A 24287-nucleotide genomic window follows, 5' to 3' on the forward strand; every position below is an offset into this window, starting at 1 on the left:
GTCATCCTTTGCCATTCTCCCTTCCTCACTCCCAAATAAGAATCCTCTGGAACATTCCTAACCTTCAAAATGACATCTTTTGTTGTTGTTGTTGTTGTTTTTGAGACAGAGTCTCACTCTGTTGCCCAGGCTGGAGTGCAGTGGCACAATCTCAGCTCACTGCAACCTCCGCCTCCCAGGTTCAAGCCATTCTCCTGCCTCAGCCTCCTGAGTAGCTGGGACTACAGGTGCCCACCACCATGGCTGGCTAATTTTTTGTATTTTTAGTAGAGGCGGGGTTTCACCATGTTAGCCAGGATGGTCTCAATCTCCTGACCTCGTGATCCGCCCGTCTCGGCCTCCCAAAGTGCTGGGATTACAGGCATGAGCCACCACGCCCGGCCCCTAGTTAATGACTTTCTTAAATATCATAATGCTAAAAGGAATTTGTGCTAGAATTTTCCTAAATAAATTGATAACTACCTTCTCTGACCTGTAACCCCCTGCCAATAGCATATATCAGCCAGACTTGAAAAGATTTTTTGCTGTCCTGATGTGATTGTCCCATTAGTACAGAAAACAAAGGAAAATGTAGTTTGACGAAACAGGTTCTCATTCTGAAATTGTTTGCATTTGATCTGCCTTTATTTCAGTTTTAATAGCAGCTATAATCAACGTTGGGCAACTGCTTTGCTCTTTCTAGCTGCAGAAACCTCTGGCCAAAAACACAAAAAGGCACACTGATTTGTGCATGGAAACACATCCTCATTCTTATTTTCAACATGAGAAGTTGTCACAGACATCCCTCTTCCTTTGCTTTGAGTCAGTTTATGTGATGGCATTTATCATTAAGACATATAATCTGTTAGTGATTGTTATTCAGCAGCTTTTGGTTTTAGTTTCTTATCTTTGAGGAAGCCCCTTTTTTCAAACAGCTAACTCTTGCATCTAAAAAGTGTCTTCTTAAGTATATCATCTTTCCATTTTGCTGGAATTCTAAATTTTATGCTACTTATCATTGAAAAAATACTGAATTACTTCATTTTTGTATTTTATTAAACTAAAATTTGAATCCAAGTCACTCACCACTGATAGCTTTATACTGTTTAAATGACTTTTTAATTTTGGTGTTTGGGTATGTTTGTTAGCATGTAGAAAGCAAGCCCAAGGTAATTTATAAAGCTATGACTTACAGTGTATGGAGCACTAAGTAGAGTTTATTCAAGGCAACTGGTGCTAGATGCTATGAAGATTACTGTAGTCTTCACTTCAATATTACACTTATTTTGCCTTTTCAGAATATTTTTATATGTGAATATGTGGAGACACATTCTTTTTGAGGCGGTGTCTTGCTCTGTCACCCAGGCTGGGGTACAGTGGCATGCTCTCGGCTCACTGCAACCTCCGCCTCCCAGGTTCCAGGGATTCTCCTGCCTCAGCCTCCCGATTAGCTGTAATTACGGGCGTGCGCCAACACGCCTGGCTAATTTTTTTGTATTTTTAGTACAGATGGGGTTTCACTATGTTGGCCAGGCTCGTCTCAAACTCCTGACCTCAGGTGATCTGCCCATCTTGGCCTCCCAAAGTGCTGGGATTACAGGTGTGAGCCACCCACGCCTAGCTGAGACACAAACATTTTCTTACCTCAAAACCTGGACTACACAAGAAATTCATTAAGAATGAAAGTAATATATATTTTTTCTTAACAATATCTTGATCTTTAAAGAATCAGTTCTATGTATACTGTTATTAAAATCTGATTAAATAGCAATTTATAGGAATCTTTAAAAGAAATCAACATTGAGATTTTTATTATATATCTATTAATTTTCAGTGGATCTCTGCTGAATAACTTACAAACAATTATAATTATTTTTCCATTAATCTGATATTTGAAGGTAAGACTCAACAAGAACAATGCAAAAATGAGAGAAAATAAGAGGGAAACATTAATTTTTTTCTTTGACTTTTATTTCATCTGCATAATTTAATCATTTTTTCCTTCAAATATTCAAAAACCTGCATTGGTATTTTTTTCTGACACATTTCCCCTGTTAGACTTTAGTTTTTCTTAGTTCATATTCTTGTGTTAATGGCTGGTGGAGTAACGTTTCCTCACACACAATGTTTTTTAAGGTATGTTTCTATCTGGAACACTAATTGGTCAAATATGTATAGCACATGAACATTAAAGGGTGCTAACTACGGTTATCTCACTGAAGCATTTTTTTTTTTTGTCGTTCAGCAAACGTTGATTTAATTCTTAAGTGCCAGGCTCTAAGAAAGGTACTGAAACATTTTCTTCCATTAAAGAAACATAAATAAGAGACAGACATATTGTAGTTTAAATAAGTACAGTGATGCTGTAAAAATCAAATTAAGACAAATAGGAGATGTCTATGAAAATGGTCATTACGCAGCCTCTCCCTTCCTGCCTATCCTGCATTCCTGCCTGCTTAGTTTCTCTGATGAGACATCTATGAGCTCCTTCCTCTTCCAAAGCCTCCCTGCCTCTCACTGGTCTCCCCAGGCACATGGATCATAATCTGCCTTTCTGTCTCCCTCTGTAGAATACCCCTGCATTCACTCTGCTCATTGGACTAAGCTGGCCTGCTCACTGCTGTCAGCATTGCCTGAACTTTTCTGCCACCATGAGTTTGCTCAGGCTCATCATTCAGCAAGATATGTGCTTGGTTTCTCCTCTGCCTGTCATAATTCTGTCCATCCTTCAAGGCCTGCATTAGTGTGTCTTGTTATCCATGTTTACTTTCCTTCATTGCATCTACTCCTTTTTAGCATTTGTCTATTTATTTAACAGACCCCCACCCTTCTGGAATGTAATAATAAACACACAGGCAAGCTAACAAACTTGAACTCATGCGTATCCCCTGCGGAGCCTAGAATTGCTTTCCATTCCGCTTGGAATAGAGGATGCATACGTATGCAAATATTGAAGACATTCATTTGATGCACAAAGTCTATTTCACAAGCATTTAATTTCTAACATATGCCAGACTCAGAGTTTGGCAATGGCATGTAGATGAAATAGGCAAGTTAACAGACAAAATACAGTATGTTAAGTGCTTCAGTGGAGGTAAGCATGGGAAATTTATAGGAGTGTTACTAATTCAGGTAAGTCAATGAGTGGATGAAAGCATGGATAAATATGTAAATGAATAACTTAGGTTAATTCTCTGGAGCTCCTATTTAGTATTCTGCTGTCCTCTTTATGTGTTAATCAGCCTGATAATCTGCTGCAACTACAGGCAGTGTCCTAATTTCTTCCTTCACAATAGTTCCTAATAACACTCAGGTGGCTACAATATAGTGAATTCTGTATACCTGCTTTCTCAGATGCATCATCCTGGCCTTTAACCACTATATGAACTGATGTCTCCAGTTGCCACATTAAACATATTAATTTGGGAATTCAAAAAAGTAATGTTTAAGGCCAGGCACAGTGGTTCACACCTGTAATCCCAGCATTTGGGAGGCTGAGGCGGGAGGATCACAAGGTCAGGAGTTCAAGACCAGCCTGGCCAACATGGTGAAACCCTGTTTCTACTAAAAATACAAAAAGTTAGCTGGGCGTGGTGGCACTTGCCTGTAATCCCAGCTACTCAGGAGGCTGAGACAGGAGAATCACTTGAACCCAGGAGGCAGAGGTTAGAGTGAGCAGAGATTGCACCACTGCACTCCAGCCTGGGCAATAGAGAGATGCTCTGTCTCAAAATAATAATAATAATAATAATAATAATAATAATGTTTTAGAATAAGATTAGTCTAATGTTTCATTATTAAAGCAGATAAAATGTATTTAATGGTTCTTTTGTCTTTGTTTTATTCCTGTGCACAATTTTTTTTTTGAGACAGTCTTGCTCTGTTGCCCAGGCTGGAGTGCAGTGGTGCAATCTTGGCTCACTGCAACCTCCACCTCTCAGGTTCAAGCAATTCTTCTGTCTCAGCCTCCTGAGTAGCTGGGATTACAGGCACGCATCACCATACCCAGCTAATTTTTGTATTTTTTAGTAGAGATGGGGTTTCACCATATTGGCCAGGCTGGTCTCGAACTCCTGACCTCGTGATCCGCCCACCTCGGCCTCCCAAAGTGCTGGGATTACAGGTGTGAGTCACCACACCCAGCTCCTGTGCACAATATTAACACTTCACTAGTTTATTTCCTTTGTTTTTCTACTCGTGGTGATTTGAAACAGTCTTTCTTTTAGAGTGCTTTGCATGAAGAATCTCAAGTTCTTATTTTTTCAACTTCTGTTTATTTTTCTGTTTGTTGGTTTTTCCACTAAAAAAAAAATCATTTTTTAAGTTTTATTTTGGCCTCTTTTATTTTGCTTTTTAATCATGAAAATTAAGAAAGCATGTTGAGCCCACAAGGTACTAAGTACTATTGTTGACAGCTGAAGTGATACCTCAGTTCTTCTTGGTTTAAAATAGTTTAAACAAGAGCTACACAGCAAAGGAGGTGTAGCATAGAGTAATTTATTACAATGGATAAAGATATTTTGAAAGTTAGGTGCAGAATAAACAGTATACCCTGAGAGAGAAAGAAGTCAGGACAGGCTGCTTGTAAGGGTGAGACAGCAAAAACTGGCACTAGGGAGACACCCTTTTAGGGAGTTTTAGGTGGGGACACAGCCAAACCATATCAGACACCTACTATGTGTCATTCGTTTTTTCTTCAGTGCTTGGATGTTGAAATAATGAATAAGCATAAGACTCCCTTTTTGGGAGTTTTAAAAGATGATTCATAAGGAGGTGGGAAGAGGTGTTACTAGTAAGCATGTTCTGGGTGGTCTTCTGGTGCACATGTGCAGTAACTGTACATGCTTGTTCATATGTTGCATGTTTCATTAGCATCTTAAAACTCCACCCAGGGGTGTGGTTTTTACTATTATAATGAGCATAGGGTCAGTTTGGGGACAGGTAAAATCAAAATATGCATGCTCTCTAGAAGGGAAAGGCCCTATTGAAGATAGCTTTGCTTGAATGAGCTCAATTACAATGCAAATACTGAGGTTTATTGTGCTGACTGTATGATCACCATGGTTGCCCCATCCCAAGAACATGGTCACTTCCTTGACTGCCTATCCTGCCTCACTATGATCTAGTAGGTGATTTAAATTTGGTCCACACTCAGTGTAATCATTCCATGCACTTTAAACATAATCTAGTTACCTGGTGTCATTGCGCTATATGTTGTCCTAACCTCGTGTAGTTCAGACTTCAGGTATCTCTGATACCTAGCCATAAAAGTTTAGTAGGGACTACTCAACTAAATTATCATGTAACAATCAAATGAGACCTACAGCTGAGTAAAGAAATGCTTCTCTTATTGATCAAATTTTTTTGGTTATTTTTTCATTTTCATGCCATGTTATATTTGATCCTTACGAGCTCAAACTCATAAAACAAAAGGCCACCACTTCTTGTTGGTTTGATTCAGTTATTCAACAAATGTTTATTGAACACTGTATAAGTTCATTCTCATGCTGCTATAAGGACATACCTGAGACTGGGTAATTTATAAAGGAAAGAAGTTTAATTGACTCACAATTCCGCAGGGCTGGGGAGGCCTCGGGAAACTTACAATCATGGTATAAAGGGAAGCAAATATGTCTTTCTTCACAAGACAGCAGGAGAGAGAAGAATCAGAGTCAAGCGAAGGGGGAAGCCCCTTATAAAACCAGAAGATCTCATGAGAACTAACTCACTGTCATGAGTACAGGATGGGGGAAACCGCCTCAATGATTCAATTGTCTCCACGTGGTCCCTCCCATGACATGTGGGGATTATGGGGACTACAATTCAAGATGAGATTTGGGTGGGGACACAGCCAAACCATATCAAACACCGACTATGTGCTAGTCTTTTTTTTTTCTGAAGTACTGGGATGTAGAAACAATGAATGAGCATAATTAATATGTTAAAAGAAGAAAAATGAAGCAGGGAGAGGGCAAGGAGAGTTACCAAGGGAGGAAGTATACTATTTAACAGGGTGGTTCAGCGAAAGTCTCTCCTGTAGATGCTTTTGAGGAGAGATTTGATTGAAGTTAGAAAGCAAGTCATTTGAGCCTTACAGACATCTGTGGAGAGTATTGCGGGAATAGGTGATAGCCAGTGTCAAGCTTTTGCATGCTCAAGGGACAGAATGGAAGCCAGTGTGGCTGGAGCAGAGTGATCAAAGCAGAATGGTAGAGAACCGGAGCAGAGAGGACATGAGCGGGGACATCATATAGGATCTGTTGGCCATAACAAGGAGCTCATGTTTTATTTTGAGTGAGATGAAATAGCATTGTAGCCAAGGAGTAATGTGATCTGGCATATATTTTTAAAGTGTACTTTAGTTACTGAGTTGAATTGGTTTTCTTTTGCTGCATAACAAATTACTACAAATTTACCACCTTATAATACTGCATATGTGTTATCACACAGTTTCTGTGGGTCAGGAGCTGAGGAGGAAGGGCTGCTTAGCTGGCTTTTCTGCTTAGGGTCTCACAAATCTGAAATTAAGGTGTCTCATTTGAAGCCTGGGGTCCTCTTCCAAATTCACTTAGGTTGTTGGCAGAATTCACTTCCTGGAAGTTGTAGGACTAAAGTCCCTGATTTTTGTTGTTGTGGTTTGTTTGTTTGTTTGTTTGTTTGTTTCACTGGTTGGGTGTTTTTTGTTTTTTGTTTTTGTGATTATAAGCCTGGTTATGCTCTCAGCTCCCAGAGGCAGGTCTCAGTTCTTAGCCACACGCCAGCTCACAACCTGGTAGGTCACTTCTCCAAAACTAGCAAGGAAATCTCCTACATTTTGAGTCTTTCTCCAATTTGCTGAAATGGAGCTTTCTATAACATAATGTAATCAATCACAGCAGTAATCCACCATCCTCTTTGCCAACAAATTTAACCTAATCAAGGAAGCGACTCTCTCTTCATATTCATAAGTCCTGTTCATGCCCAATTGGAGGGAATTGTACAGGATGATTACATCATAGGGTGGAAATTTTGGGAGCCAAGTCATAATTCCACTTACTACATAGGTGGTACTACTACAGAATTGTGAAAGGAGCAAGAGAAGATTCTGAAAACCAGATAGAAGGCACTAGTGGAGTCTAAGCCAGTGTTTCCCCAAGTTTAATGTGTATATCAATATCCTAGGCATTTTGTTAAAATGTAGATTCAGACTTCATAAGGCTATAATAGTGGCCTGAATCTCCCAACAAACTCCTAGGTGATGGCGATATTGCTTGCAGAGTAGCAAGGTACAGGCAAATGATGACAGTGACTTGGGTTAGGGTGGTAATAGTAGAGATAAGAAGAGGTCTGATTAGGGAAATATTTTGAAGGCAGACCCTAAAGAGCTTGCTGAAGGAGAAACAAAGGCATCAGGATAACTTCTTACTTCAGGGGATGTCAAAGACTGTGTGGAAGGAGCTTATTTCAGAGCAGAAAAGAGTTCAGTTTGTGATATGCTAAGTATAAGATGCCTTTTAGGTTCCCAGTAGAGAGAATCACAAAATGCGATGGAAAATAGCAGGTTTATACATTATATTCAGTGTTATTGAAGATTTAAAATTTTGTTTCTGTGCACCACAACTATGTAACTCTTTCTAAGTGTGCTTAGAATTTATTATATTGTATTAAAAATGTGAGCAATGAAGAGGACCTAACTGATTTGTGCTGCAGATTCTCTTTCATTCTCTTGCACTGACATTAGTAAAATAAGCAGTGTTTTCTTGTCCCTATGCCAGAGTTCCTTACAGTGAAATAAACATCATTACTCAAATCATTAAAACTGTTCCTAGAATCCAAAATACACATCACTGTGCATATTTAAAACACAATGTATTCAAACACTCTTTGGGTACAGACCTAGACTTTAAGATGATTTTCAGTACCTATTGATTCTGGTTGATGCCTCACTATGAGATGTATTACCAGATTTTCCATGACTGTATAGACGGCTTCATGGTGTGACTAATTATTATTTATTTTCAGGGCAAAATTATGCAATGTTATTTTCATCACATTGTGAGAGGTGGCCATTAGATAGAGCTTGCATAAAAGTTAGTTCTCACTGACTCACTTATCACAAAAGAAGACAGTGTAGACTAGGATTTTATCAAAGATAAATTTACTTATAATCCCCTAAACCTCAATCATGTAAAATCTTGGCCTTACCCGTTCTCATTTTCAGAAAGAAAAGCATTCAGAAGAATATAAAATGAAAACTACACTGCCACTCCTTTCTTCCTTGTGATGGCCATGGAAATGCTAGCGTTTAACCAGAGACTTGGACTCTCAATATTTCAAATGTTTTAAAAGAACTTTAAGTAGAATATACCTGTGCTTAGCACTGCTTGGGTGCTAAGTTAACATGCAGTGAAATAAGATTACGGGAGGTGATTCATGGTTTCAGGTAGGGGTGAAATAAAGGCAACAAAGGGCAGTTTGGGTTTAGAGGACGCTTCATACTGTGGAACATGTGAAAATTTAGTTTATTTTAAGCAAAAATCTTTATAGAAATCCCTGTTTTGCTTTTCTTATTGTTAAACAATAAAATGTGCTAGGCTTTACGACCAGAGAAAAATGGGAAGGAGATATTTTAAGGACAGCCTGATGATTATGTTTTTGTAAATAAGATCCCAAACAGATGGAAATTAAACCAAATCTTTCAATGACAGAGGGTGACAGTAGGTCTGAAGGCAGCTACTTTTATGGAGAGTGTTGAGGAAGTCAGAACTTTACTCCTATATCTGGATTCCTTTCAATCTGGAATCCTGGGCTAGGACTAACTACCTTACAGGACAATTAAGCTTTTTGTTGATTTGAAAGAATTGTGATGACTGGACAAAGCCATTGCTGAACCCTGAACTTGTCACATTATGAGAGGTGGCCATTAGATCAAGCTTGCATAAAAGTTAGTTCTCATTGACTCCCTGATCACAAAAAGAAGATGTTGTAGACTAAAGTTGTACCAAACCTTGGTTGTTGTTCTATAGACTTGTTTTTTTATAGTGGCATGGTTGTTCTACAGACCTTTTGTAGTGTTTCGTATTGAAATCCAGAATCTAAATACAGGCATAATTATTTCATGCATTAGTTCAAAGATGTCAAACATTTTTCTACTATTGCATCTATTTTTATGTAATGTATTAACTATAATGTAAAGTTTAATTTTTGCATGGTAATTTAAGAAACTAAATTTCTTACTCCTTCTTTTCCCTAGGAGCACTGAATCAAAAAAATTGGGGAAAGAAATATCCAACATGTAATAGCCCAAAACAATCTCCTATCAATATTGATGAAGATCTTACACAAGTAAATGTGAATCTTAAGAAACTTAAATTTCAGGGTTGGGATAAAACATCATTGGAAAACACATTCATTCATAACACTGGGAAAACAGGTAAAATATTTGCATTCTGTTTGCCTTTAATATATTTTTCAGACCTGGAGTATGTTTAGACTAGTTTCATCTCATTTTCCTTTGAATAGTGTACTATGAACTAGATAGAAGTTACATGTAGAAGAAACCAAATGGAGCAGAGAAAATGGGAAATTTAGACAATATTTTGACAATTTGTACAAAAAAAAAATGACCAATGTCATCATGTCATGTTTTCCTACAAGGTAACAATAATGATGCTGCCTCTAGAAGATGTGATAATGTGATTTACAGCTAATATAATTTAGTCAATTACTTAGTCAATCAGGATTTCTTTTTCTTGAGCATTATAGTTTGATCTTTTCTGCCTAGCCTCATGTTATAGTCAGTATTTGGATATGAAAAAAGCAATTGGCTATAATTGAAATTTAAGAAAATAAATTCCTAGCTCTTCTATATAGAAGGTTTAAAGTTGTATCCCATCCTTAGGAAACCCTCTCTAAGTGTCTTTTTATTGAGCCTATCTTTTTTTTTTTTTAAAAAAAAGCAAAATATAATACATTAAAATTTAAGTACAAATTCTAATAAGCTATACATAGATAAATAATTTCCAAAAAGTGACACCTTTTCTTTTTTGATATTCTAGTTTTTTTAAAAATTGTATTTTGGGAAATTATGTAAAGGCAAATATACACGTAAGACAAAGATTAGAAAAATATTCAAAATTATAATAGTAGCTCTATGGGGATAAGCTTTATCATTGGTGAATTTTTTTTATATTTTCTATATTTAGGTAATGTAATTATTTGAACATAATAATTTAATTTCAAAACTCAAGAGAGTAGTAGTCAGGCACTGTGGCTCACGCCTGTGATCCCAGCACTTCGGGAGGCCGAAGTGGCTGGATCACTTGAGGTCAAGAGTACCAGACTAGCCTGGCCAATATGGCAAAAACCCATCTCTACTAAAAATACAAAAATTAGCTGGGTGTGGTGGCACACTCCTGTAATTCCAGATACTCAGGAGGCTGAGACACAAGAATCACTTGAACTCAAGAGTTGGAGGCTGCAGTGAGCCAAGATCATGCCACTGCACTCCAGCCTGGACAACAGAGTGAGATCCTATCCAAAAAATCAAATCAAAACAAACAAACAAACAAAAAACAACTCCTGCTGGGCGCAGTGGCTCACGCCTGTAATCCCAGCATTTTGGGAGGCCAAGGTGGGTGGATCACCTGAGGTCAGGAGTTCAAGACCAGCTTGGTCAACATGGCAAAACCCCACCTCTACTAAAAATAAAAAAATTAGCCAGGCATGGTGGTGCATGCCTGTAATCCCAGCTACTCGGGAGGCTGAGGCAGGAGAATTGATTGAACCCAGGAGTCGGAGGTTGAGTGAGCTGAGATTGTGCCATTGCACTCCAGCCTGGGCAACAAGAGCGAAACTCTGTCTCAAAAAAAAAAAAAAAAAAAATCTCATGAAAGTAGAGATTTTTCTACATCAGTGCCTGATATGTAATAAACACTAAGTATTTCTTGAATGAATAATTTTTAAAATTATTATGTTACATGTAATAATTACCTAAAAGTATATTGTCCCAAATCTTGACATTATTATTTTCAGTTTTGAAGGGTGTTAGAAAGCAGTAGGGCATGGAACCTCTGCTTTGGTTTTTTTATTTTTATTCTTTTTATATATATATTTTTATTATACTTTAAGTTCTAGGGTACATGTGCACAACATGCAGGTTTGTTACATATGTATACATGTGCCATGTTGGTGTGCTGCACCCATTAACTTGTCATTTACATTAGGCATATCTCCTAATGCTATCCCTCCCCCCTCCCCCCACCCCGCAACAGGCCCAGGTGTGTGATGTTCCCCTTCCTGTGTCCAAGTGTTCTCATTGTTCAAATCCCACCTATGAGTGAGAACATGCGGTGTTTGGTTTTTTGTCCTTGCGATAGTTTGCTGAGAATGATGGTTTCCAGCTTCATCCATGTCCCTACAAAGGACATGAACTCATCATTTTTTATGGCTGCATAGTATTCCATGGTGTATGTGTGCCACATTTTCTTAATCCAGTCTATTGTTGTTGGACATTTGGATTGGTTCCAAGTCTTTGCTATTGTGAGTAGTGCCACAATAAACATGCATGTGCATGTGTTTTTATAGCAGCATGATTTATATTCCTTTGGGTATATACCCAGTAATGGGATGGCTGGGTCAAATGGTATTTCCAGTTCTAGATCTCTGAGGAATCGCCACACTGTCTTCCACAATGGTTGAACTAGTTTACAGTCCCACCAACAGTGTAAAAGTGTTTCTATTTCTCCACATCCTCTCCAGCACCTGTTGTTTCCTGACTTTTTAATGATCACCATTCTAACTGGTGTGAGATGATATCTCATTGTGGTTTTGATTTGCATTTCTCTGATGGCCAGTGATGGTGAGCATTTTTTCATGTGTCTGTTGGCTGCATAAATGTCTTCTTTTGAGAAGTGTCTGTTTATATCCTTTGCCCACTTTTTGATGGGGTTGTTTGTTTTTTTCTTGTAAATTTGTTTAAGTTCTTTCTAGATTCTGGATATTAGCCCTTTGTCAGATGAGTAGATTGCAAAAATTTTCTCCTATTCTGTAGGTTGCCTGTTCACTCTGATGGTAGTTTCTTTTGCTGTGCAGAAGCTCTTTAGTTTAATTAGATCCCATTTGTCAATTTTGGCTTTTGTTACCATTGCTTTTGGTGTTTTAGACATCAAGTCCTTGCCCATGCCTATGTCCTGAATGGTATTGCCTAGGTTTTCTTCTAGGGTTTTTATGGTTTTAGGTCTAACATTTTAATATTTAATCCATCTTGAATTAATTTTTGTATAAGGTGTAAGGAAGGGCTCCAGTTTCAGCTTTCTACATATGGCTAGCCAGTTTTCCCAGCACCATTTCTTAAATAGGGAATCGTTTCCCCATTTCTTGTTTTTTTCAGGTTTGTCAAAGATCAGATAGCTGTAGATGTGTGGTATTATTTCTGAGGGCTCTGTTCTGTTCCATTGGTCTCTACCTCTGTTTTGGTACCAGTACCATACTGTTTTGGGAACCTCTGCTTTATTATATATTGTAAGCAAAAATCTTTATAGAAATCCCTGTTTTCCTTTTCTTATTGTTAAACAATAAAATGTGCTAGGCTTTATAACCAGAGAAAAATGGGAAGGAGGTATTTCAAGGATAGCCTGATGATTATGTTTTTATAAATAAGATCCCAAACAGATGGAAATTAAACCAAATCATTCAATGACAGAGGGTGACAGTAGGTCTGAAGGCGGCTATTTTTATGGGGAGTGTTGAGGGTTTTGTTTTTCTTAGGGGAGAGTGGTTATTAGATTATTGAGCTAATAGAGCCACATTACTTGGGTTCACCACTGGCTCTTGAAATGACAGTGGGGAACCTTTGAGCAACCTACTTAGCCTTTCTGTGACTCAATTTCCTCATCTGTAAAATAAGGTTTATACAGTATCTACTTACCAAGGTTGTGCGAAGATCAAATGGATAATATATGTAAAGTAACTAGTATAGTTCATGGTACATCGTAAGTGATATGTAAATGTTGGCTGTCGTTGTTATTGTGCTTGTTATTATTATTATTAGCTGGAGTTTGTATCCCTAGCTGGCTGGCCAATATGTTGTATTCAGTCCCTGATGCCAAAGTGATTTATCCCTAATGGAACAGAGACTATTTAAACTTTATTGAGGGACATCCAAATCTTTCACTGGGCTCTCAAGAGAGCTCTCCAGAAGACTGTTAAAATATAGTCAGATAATATCTGCTGTGGAACTCATACAGGGGAGTTTAAGCTTCTGCCACTCAGGGTTCAAACATGAGATGGCCAAAACTCCTCCATAAGAATGAGTTTCCTGCCTTTCCTGCCACAGCCAGGGACCCAGGTTCTGGACCTTGCTAATGAAGCCTGGGTGATACATGGAGGGATAAGCAGCAGCCTGATAAGGAGTAGAAATGGGCTGAAAATAGGAAGGTGAGAGAACTCTGAGGAGAAGACTTATTTTTTTTTTTCTTTTAACCCTTCAGTTCCTTCCCCCTTTGCTCTGTCTTCTTATTACCATCTGACATCTTAGGGAAGCAGAGCTTTCAAGTAACAGCTATCTTAGGACACCAAACAAACAGAGCAGGTGGACTGGCTGTCTTCTGCCCTTGAAGTCATACACTAGTCAATATCTTCAGCTTAGTTTGCATTTGTGGCAATAAGATATAAGTATATTGTGCAGACCTACAAAGTTTGGCTTCCAAAATGGCGACTTCATATTTTGTAAATTTATCAAATAAATGATTTTTCTTAATGTACCTTAAGTAGATGGAAATTTAGTTGAAATTTAAAATTTTGATTTTCAGAAGCTTAGGTGCAATTGTATTTCTTTTTTTAGTGGAAATTAATCTCACTAATGACTACCGTGTCAGCGGAGGAGTTTCAGAAATGGTGTTTAAAGCAAGCAAGATAACTTTTCACTGGGGAAAATGCAATATGTCATCTGATGGATCAGAGCATAGTTTAGAAGGACAAAAATTTCCACTTGAGGTAAGTCAGGAGATCTGCTGTGTACTATTTTATTTTCTAAATAATTGATGTTTTTATTTAGCATATAATTTGATTAATTTTAAAATCCAATATTAAAATTTATAAAGTGATATTTTGATTACTTGATTAATATACTAGACTAAGCTAAATTAATGTAAGACTTATCTTTGATTTGCCACTTGCTGGTAAGTAGCAACCCAAAGTGCCACAAAATGGTAATCAATAAATGCTGATGAATTAATGAAGGAAGGAAAAGGGGGACAATTTCATTAACATACTGGAGAATCCTTTGATTTAAATCTTTTGATTAAAATGAGAAAAATTTTCAGCTTTAAAATTGGCAAAGTAAATAATTATAAAAAATGAGTGTGTAGTGAAATGTTTTCTTACATGTCTAGAGAAAGTCTAAATTGGTAGACTTTCTGGGAAGCAGTTTGCTTGTTTTTATTAAGAATTTTAAATGATTTACACTAAATACCCAACATTTAAATTTAAAGCCATTTAGTCTAAAAATTTAAAAATTGCAAAAATTTATTTAAAATATAATATTGAACCAAAAGGCAATGATTATTTAAATACATTATGATGGATATTATAGATTTCACAAAAATCATGTTTTTGAATGATATATATACATATAAAAGGCTCATGATAAGGTATTAATGGTTTTAAAAAGAAACATGTTAAGTGGTATAACCAGTATTATTTTTGCAATTTTTTAATACATTAAAATTAATTAAATATTGACTGAGAGTGGAGTCTGAATCAAATGGACTAGGTTTGAATCTTGACTCCACCATTTGGTTATTGGTTACATGACATACAATATATAAATTATTTAACTTACCAATGCTTCCATTTTTCTTCCGTGAAATTGACATAGTAGCTGCACCTGCCTTATAACATTACTATGGAAATTAAATGAGGGATTGACTTATTACTCATAAAAGTAATTGAGGAGCCAGGCGCGGTGGCTCATGCCTGTAATCCCAGCACTTCGGGAGGCCGAGATGGGCAGATCACTAGAGGTCAGGAGTTCCAGACCAGCCTGGCCAACATGGTGAAATGCCACCTCTACTAAAAACACAAAAATTAGCTGGTCATGGTAGCACTCACCTGTAATTTCACCTACTCAGGAGGCTGAGGCATGGGAATCACTTGAACTCAGGAGGTGGAGGTTGCAGTGAGCCAAGATCACACCACTGCACTCCAGACTGGGTAATGGAGTGAGACGCTGTCTCAAAAAAGAAAAAAAAAAAAAAAAAAAAAAAGCAATTGATGGAATTCAAGAAAATGCTAGTAATGATTTTCTCTGGGTGATGGCATTATAGGTGCCTCTTATTTTCTCCTTTCAAGTTCCCATGTTTTCTAAAATACCTAGAATGAAACTATTCATTTTATAATTCAAAAGTTATTAATAATAAAAATAAGATAGGGTGAATTACCTCTTAAAAGACTAAAAAGCTTTTTTTAAAAGATGGATATCGACATTCATTTACAGCTTATACTATGGATTTTTTCTTTATTCAATATTTTTAAAGAAAAGCACATTTATCAAATTTGCTTTGTCAAAGTAGTCAAAGTCAATTCATTAAGCAACATATCACTTCTGAGAGTTTAGCTTACTCACAATATTACCTATTTAGAACAAAGATGAAGTTCAAGAAAAATTCTATCAACAAGAGCCCTGAGCAATCAAAATACATGGTACAGAATCCATGCACTAAACCTAATACAATTATTTTAATGCAAAAGCCTCTCAAATTGTCTCTCAGTGGTATTGGGGTTTTGTTGTTGTTGTTGTTGTTGCTTTGAGACAGAGTCTCGCCCTGTCGCCCAGGCTGGAGTGCAATGGCATGATCTCGGCTCACTGCAACCTCCACCTCCTGTGTTCAAGCAATTCTCCTGCCTCAGCCTCTCGAGTTGCTGGGATTACAGGTGCATGCCACCATGCCCAGCTAATTTTTTCTATCTTTAAGTAGAGACGGAGTTTCACTATGTTGGCCAGGCTGGTCTTGAACTCCTGACCTCGTGATCCACCCACCTCAGTCTCCCAAAGTGCTGGGATTACAGGCATCAGCCACCATGCCCAGTCTTCTTTGTTGTTTTAAAACACTCTCTATGTAATTGTGTAAGCAGGAAACCCAAGGATCATCCCTGGCTTGCTCCGTATTTCTTATCTCCTACATCTCACAATCAAGTCTTCTCAATTCACCAGGCATGGTGGCTCAAACTGTCATCCCAGCACTTTAGGAGGCTGAGGCTGGAGGATCACTTAAGCCCAGGAGTTTGAGACTAGTCTGGGCAACATAGTGAGATCCCATTTCTACAAAAAATAAGAGAAAATAGCTGAAGACGGTGGCATGCACCTGTTGTCCCAACTACTCCAGAGGCTGAGGTAGGAGGATCACTTAAGCCCATGAGGTCAACGCTGCAATGAGCCATGATCATGCCACTGCATTCCAGCCTGAGTGACAGAGTGAGACCCCCTCTCAAAACAAACAAACAAAAGCCTTATCAGTTTTTCTCCTAAATACCATATGGGAGGTCAGAAAAAAGTTTGCTTACTTGGATTATTAAATTAATAATTATTAAGTTTTAAATCATATTTCTTTCGATTTCCCATGCTTGTCATACTGTCTTGCCTAATAGGCCTTTGCCAGGTGGTACTTCTGACTTGAACACATGCCCTTCTCTTCTGCCTTTCACCTGGCTAAAAGCTGCTCATTCTTGAAGGGTCAGTTTAGAAATCCTGTCTCTGAAAAGGTTTTGGTGACTCGCCCAAAGCAGGAGCCACTGCTATCCTCTGTTGCACACCCTCTGTTTCTCCCATCAGAGCACTGACTATGCTTTATGCTCTCAGAGGCTTCCTACTCTTACCTTAAGTCTACTTCTATCTAGCCTGAGACACCTGATTTCCAAACCCAGACAGGAGAAGCACCAAATTATATAGAGGCTGTTACAGAGAGATACATATATGGACTGAAGCAGAAATTAACAAGGGATAGCCTCACAGCTGGAAAGGAGAATCAAAATATGAAACTTAAAACTCTTTTGGTATTTTTTAGGTAGAAGCTGAGAGTCCTTGAGAGTTTCAATATTAATAGACCACAATATGGGAATATCAAAGAATGGTAACTCTGGACTCTCAAGAAAGGCATGCACTCTTGAGAAAGACAGAAAATTATATTTAAAATAATTCCATAAAGCAGTTAAAGTAATATATGATTATTTATTTTATGTAATTGTTCTAATAAATTTTACGGCACAGTCCCCTGGTAATCTCAAAATGGTCATTTTGGTTTTAGATATGTCTAACTTTCTATTCCCTTCCTTATTGAAGGATGGTAAATGATAGCAAATGTAGTTGTATACATGTAATTTATAAAAGATTTTGGAAATACTTAGAATGTAGAATTCTCTTTGCTGATTTTTATGAAGTCTTTGTGTATCATAAAACTATCATTGTTACTTTTATAGATGCAAATCTACTGCTTTGATGCGGACCGATTTTCAAGTTTTGAGGAAGCAGTCAAAGGAAAAGGGAAGTTAAGAGCTTTATCCATTTTGTTTGAGGTAATATATATACACTTTACACTAATGTAATTCCTTTTTAAGTCACATTAAATATTGACGTGAAATATCAAGACATAGTTTCTAACAAAGAGAGGAGCTCACAAGTAAAATTAAAACTGGTGGTCATTTTCAAAAAAAGATGACCCTTGCCTGGTATTTTTAAAAGGAGACTCTTGTGTTTGTTAATTGGGTGAATCTTTTCTAGCTGGGGCAAAGTGTTCTATTAAGTACACAGATTTGCTTATAGTACATAAAAGCATCATATTAATAATTATGTATTATTATCAGTAACTATGAATCATAAAATTTTAAAATTTACTTTTCTTAGTGAAATATGTAAGTTACCTGGTTTTTGTTTGCTTTATTTGTTTTCACCTAGCTATAAAAAAAGTGTTTTTGGAACTTACTATTTTTTAATGCACATATTTAAAATGGAATTCATTAATCTTCACATTTTTATTGAATAGTTATCCAAATGTTTTATTCTTTTTTTAGAATGTGATTCTTTTTTAACAGGTTGGGACAGAAGAAAATTTGGATTTCAAAGCGATTATTGATGGAGTCGAAAGTGTTAGTCGTTTTGGTAAGCTACTTGGGGAACTATCTTTCTTCAGGATTCTGCTTTGGATGGATAAGAATGTTGACAATACGACAAAAGTCACTTGTTCCAAAAGGTGGAAAGTACTACATTTTTAAAGAGGAGCAATCTCTCACTTTCCACACTTGATAATTTATACATTTCTCACCAAATAAATAACAATTTATCAGAAAATTTTGTTACATCAAAAGCATGAAACATTAATGTAAGTAGGAAATTGAAGTTTTTAAAATTCTTGAAAATAATCTAATTATATCATGCAATTAAAGCCTATTTATCTATTATGTCTCTGCATTATACATCCGTTAAAGACTAATTCCTAATCTGAAACCAGCTAATTTTATAAATATCATATTTTAAAGTAGAAAAGGAATTGTTACTCAAGTTAAAATTTATTCCCTGGTGGTTTCCTTGATAAATCCTTTGCTTTATCAACATGAGGAGATGAGATTTTTGGAAGAAGGTCAACACTTACATAGAAGAAGATGCAATATGCTTTGACATTGTTCTGCCTGCTATCTCATGGATCTTGTAATTTGTCACAACAAATGCTTTTAACAACATGGGCAGAGGAGTGTAAGCCTATTAATTTTACTATTTTATTTTTATTAAGCACTCACACACAGGATCTTAATGCTGCCCTGAGTTACCAATAAAATGAGGATTATTCCTCTCTGGAAGCTGCAAAATTTGAAATCAGAAACAAAACTCATGTAGATCCTTTTCTTGAAAGCAGAAGCCTGGCCTAGGATTGATTTATCATTGTCAATTACATGTGAGGATCTGAATTGACCCAACTTTTCAGAAGTCAGGAATATGTGAACTCCTGCAGGGTAGCTTTTATTTTTTTTTTTTTTTTAGAGACACAGCACAAGATGAAGCTGTTACCTCCCTCCATCAACCCAGATTGCAAAATTCTACATTGAATGCGATAAGTCACATTTAATTTTCCCCACTTGAGTCACAAAGTAGATTCTATCCAGACTGAAATAAAACAACTTGTTTGAATTCCTATACTTAAAAAAATGTGTAAGATATGAATTCTGAATGTTCCAGACCTTGCACCAGCCTGTGGGGACAATGAAAGAGATGTTAACACTGGGTTGTTAACCCTGACTTGTGCAACTATGGGACCTTTGAGACTTTCTCTTAAGGCCTCTTTACTTTCCCAGGTACTTTACTTTTTGGGGGTGCCTTGGAAGGCACTCATACGAGCTTGAGAATAAACTTGCTCATGTTCTTTAAAATTTCCTTTCTAATATCTACTGTCTGAAAGCCATTCAGGAAGATACTTTGTCAGATACACTGTGACTACATATTCTCTCCCTTTCTGAGAATATGGATTCCCTAACAGCATTATTCTGCCTATATTCTGGCTCTTAATTTGAAAGCAGAACAGTTCTTGGATTAGCTGAGGACGGATTCTAGTCCTTTACCCCCTCTCTCTCTGTCTCTCTACCTCACTTGTATTAGTCCATTTTCACACTGAGAGTAAGTGATGTGTAAAAGAAAGAGATTGAATTGACTCACAGTTCTGCATAGGTGGAGAGGCCTCAGGAATCTTACAATCATAGTGGAAAGCAAAGGGTAAGCAAGGCATGTATTACATGGCAGCATGAGAGAGAGAATGAGAGTGTGAGCAAAGGAGAAACTGCGGAACACTTATAAAGCCATCAAATCTCGTGAGAACTCACTCACTATCATGAGAACAGCATGGGGGAAACTGCCCCCATGATCCAATCACTTCCCACTTGGTCCCTCCTCAACACATGGGGATTACAATTTGGATTACAATTCAAGATGAGATTTGGGCAGGGACACAGAGCTAAACCATATCACCACTATTTGTGCACCAACTTCCTCATTTACCAAAAACCAAAATCCTTCATGCCTATCCACTCATTCATCTGGATACTTAGTATTTCAATATACTCAGCAAGGACAACTACCCAAACCAAATAAGTTAAGTCTTTCTAAAGTCAAACGTTTCCATTTTGAGAGTTCTTGAATTAAATCCAGTCTATTTCTGACTCTAGAAAATCCCCTACTGCCCAATAAACTGAAGGCTCCCCCATATTGGCAATCAGACATTGCTGCTGGCAACCTTGAGGATCAAAGGTGGGACTTGTCTTTAGGCAGTGATTCTGGAACCACAGCTAAATCCCCAAATTTGGCTCTGTATTCACCATATAATGTAAGTTATTAAAAAAAAAAACACCTTTTCAACCATTATTCAGATTATAAGATCTATCTTACTATGCTGTGGGCTGGTTGCTCATTTCCTGTTTCCTCTCTAAAGGACAAAGCCCATTTCTCATTCCTCCCCTCAACCCCTCTTTCTTTCTTTCCCTCCCATCCACCATACCTACTCTATGTTAGGCATTATCCTATCCATGGAGTGGAGAGAGAGAGAGCATGATGTTGCAGCAATACTGAGATAATGAATTAATATTTTCCAAGCAGAGCCCACAAAAGACGTTAGTTGCAATCTTTCGAGTTGCAGGGAAGAGACACATCCCAGGTAACATCATCAGTGATTATCTGATGGAAATTCTCATCAGACTGATTTATAGTGCTTTCTTAATCACAATTTCAGCCCAGAAATTTCTGTACTGAAAAGTCCTCATAGGCATTGGTGTGACCCCATGCTAAATATCATTGTCCTAAGTAATAGGAGCTGGTTTTATGTAGTTACCAGCCTTTCTCTAGTGCTTGGCCCTATTGTGGTTTCTTCATCTTTGTTCCTCCCCATCTTTTTTCTTCCACCATTAGCCTTCTCATGGACGGATCTGATTAGTTGGTTGGTTGATCATCATTACATGTTCAAGCAAATAATGATTGCAAAAATGAATGACTGACCCCAAATAGAGCAGCACTGGCTCTGCTGTGCTTCTCTCTTGTGTTAACAATAGTGAGGTTACTTGGATGAAGCAGGTGTTTTTTTCTCAAGCCAACAAAACAAAATGAAAACCACAAACACAAACAAAGGAAAACACTGTAGTGAAATTTTGTTAGAAGAAAATGTAACTGAAAAGCACTTCTGTAATTTAAAAATCTTGTGATATCTAGTTACCACATCCGTAAGAGAGACCAGGTGACTGCTATTGAGGTCCAGAGGCAGAAGAATGGATTCCACATTGGGGATAGGGAGAGGAAAATGAAAAAAAAAAAATCTTCTTCTGATTCTTTTGCTTCTTTTTAAATTTTTTCCCCTTTAATTTCTTTCCCAATAATAGGAAAATTCTCTGTCTCACTCTCCTTACTCAGGTCTCACCTCTGCTTTCCCTTCCGGGCCCCTGGCTCTCCTGGGGTCAATTCATTTCCACCTAACTTAGCAGCGAGTCAATTTCTGGCTCTTTACCTAATTAGTATTCTCAACACACACATTTTTCATGAAATATTTGTAAGATAAATTTAGTCTTCAGTGGGAAAAGGAACAATTACAGTCCACTTGTCAGTTAAGGAGGTAATTTAACTACAACACTTTTCTAGTATTGAAAACATAAATCTAAAAAACATTCACAGATTAAAAAAAAATATTCTTCTTAGTTCCTGAGAACTTGAATCTAATCTGAATTCTGATCATGTTATCTTGGCATTGGAGAAGAGGAGGACATACTTTTAGAAGTTACTAATGAATCCGTTAAATCAAAGAAAACTTGAACTTTCTAATGGATTAAAACTACATGTAGGACATATTGACGTGACTATCAATTCAGTTAAGAAAAGGTTTTTATTTCTAAGATTCAGTTGTTAATTCAGACTGAAGCAGTTGTCTGTAACTTTAGTTAATAACAGTACTCCTTTTCCCTTCAGAAGTTTCTGTTACAGAAAAGTTAACATTTACTAATTTAACTTTTAAATAACTTATTTTTCTTTGAGGCTTTCTGAGTATGTTCAGTCTTCATAGAGTTTACAGCTGGAATAGACTTTTAAGATCAGATAGTCTAGTCATTTCGTATTCTAATGTGGAAAGTGTGGTTAAGAAAGACTAGGCCGGGCGTGGTGTCTCACGCCTGTGATCCCAGCACTTTGGGAGGCCGAGGCGGGCGGATCACGAGGTCAGGAGATCGAGACCATCTTGGCTAACACGGTGAAACCCCGTCTCTACTAAAAACACAAAAAATTAGCCAGGCGTGGTGGCAGGCGCCTATAGTCCCAGCTACTCGGGAGGCTGAGGCAGGAGAATGGCGTGAACCCTGGGGGGCGGAGCCTGCAGTGAGCCGAGATAGCGCCACTGCACTCCAGCCTGGGCGGCAGCGAGACTCCGTCTCAAAAAAAAAAAAAAGAAAGAAAAGAAAGACTAAAACCTTGAAAAGGCTTCACTTTACTTGGGATTTTCTACACTAGCCTACTACCCTGCATGTTTGCATCACCTGGGGATGCTTTTTAAAAATCTAGATGCCCAGGCCTGACCACTAGAGATCTTAATGCAAATGGTCTAGCGTGGGGCCTGAGGCATTGGTATTTTTCTAAAACTCCCTGGATTATTCACATAAGGATTAACACCACTGCTCTACACTCCGCCACCTCACTTAGACTACACGGATTGGCTTCAGGGACTATTTCTTAATGGCCTTAATCTCATAGAGAGGGCAGAGGACTTGCACTGGGCTGGGTAGTTCAGGAGATAGGAAAACAAATTAGACACAGATCTCACTGGTAAGTAGATTGCTGCCTACATGAGTGAGGGCTGGTTCACAAATAGCTAAATGACCAAGGTATTGCTATTGGTAAGTGCTATTGGACAGATACAAATGAGACTATTCAAGGAGACAGATATATTTGGATTGTTTCAGGGTTTGAAGGCCAGATGGCCCACCTAAGAAAACTCTACCAGTTTTTGGATAGAAATTCTATAATCTGTATACAAGTTTATATATAAGAATAAACCCATATTTATTGGTGTGTGTGTGTGTGTGTGTGTGTACACACACAAACACATCTGTGTATATTGTATCAAAAATATTTTTTTCCACTCTTTGGCTTTCCTTTTAACTCTCTTAATGACTATTGATGAATAGATCTTGATTGTCATATACTAAATTTTATCATTTTTCCTTTTATAAGTAATATTTTTTGTGTGCCATTTCAGAAACCTCAACCTACCATTAGGTTATGATGATAATTTTTTAATGTTTTCATTTAAAAGCATTATGAATATGTTCATTTAAATCTGCAATCAGTTTAGAACTGATTTGTGCTTATGATGTGAAGTAGGGAATCAAGATTCACTTTTTTCCATGAGGATATTCAATTGATATAGCACTGTTTATTGAAAAGACCATCCATTCCACATTCCATAATAATTTTTTCTATCATAGATCAAATGATCATATTTTTCTCTTTTATTTTCTCTTCCATTGTTCTCTTCATCGATCTTTGCACAAATACCTCACTATCATAATTTCTACAGCTTTATATGTAACAGTATGACAGCTCTTCCTATCTGGTAGTGAAAGTTTTCCAGCTTTATTATTTTTCAAGATTGTCTTAACTTTTCTTTGGATTTTTATTGAGATTTTAGAATCAATATGTCAATTACACACACAACCTTCTGGGATTTTAATTAGGATTTCATTGAATCTATGAATCAATTTGGGGAAAATCAACACCTTCACAATACTGACTCTTCCAACCCATGAACATAATCTTTCTGCCATTTTAATATTTATTTAATTCTCTCCAGAATGTTTTGTAATTTTCAGTGTAGATATTCTACACATTATTTGTTAGATTTATTTGTATTTGATAATGTTTTCCTATTTTAAATCATATTGCTTTAAATTTTATTTTCTGTTGTTTGATGCTGGTACACAGAAATACAATTGATTTTTGTATATTGATCTACGTGCAGTGACTTTGCTAATTTCACTTATTATTTCTCATTCTCTGTAGATGATTTTCTTTCTTTCTTTTTTTTTTGAGATGCAGTCTCGCTCTGTCACCCAGGCTGGAGTGCGGTGGCGCCATCTTGGCTCACTGCAACCTCCGCCTCCCAGGTTCAAGCGACTCACTCTCCTGCCTCAGACTCTTGAGTAGCTGGAACTACAGACACGTGCCACCATGCCCAGCTAATTTTTTGTATTTTTAGCAGAGATGGGGTTTCACCGTGTTAGCCAGGATGGTCTCGAACTCCTGACTTCGTGATCCACCCACC

The 24287-nt window shown here is 37.3% G+C and overlaps 1 protein-coding gene across 5 annotated transcripts in view; it reads left to right on the top strand.

The window, feature by feature from the left end:
* The window catches only part of PTPRZ1 (protein tyrosine phosphatase receptor type Z1), a 188876-nt gene that overhangs the window by 85579 nt on the left and 79010 nt on the right, over nucleotides 1-24287 (top strand). For all 5 annotated transcript variants that reach the window (NM_001369396.1, NM_002851.3, NM_001369395.1 and 2 more), the window contains 4 exons: nucleotides 9212-9391; nucleotides 13802-13953; nucleotides 17434-17529; nucleotides 18046-18112. In NM_001369396.1, coding sequence (NP_001356325.1) covers nucleotides 9212-9391; nucleotides 13802-13953; nucleotides 17434-17529; nucleotides 18046-18112 — 495 coding nt within the window. The remainder of the gene's footprint in view (nucleotides 1-9211; nucleotides 9392-13801; nucleotides 13954-17433; nucleotides 17530-18045; nucleotides 18113-24287) is intronic.

Source organism: Homo sapiens, chromosome 7 (genome assembly GCF_000001405.40).
Source record: "Homo sapiens chromosome 7, GRCh38.p14 Primary Assembly".
Classification (NCBI taxonomy): Eukaryota; Metazoa; Chordata; class Mammalia; order Primates; family Hominidae; genus Homo; species Homo sapiens.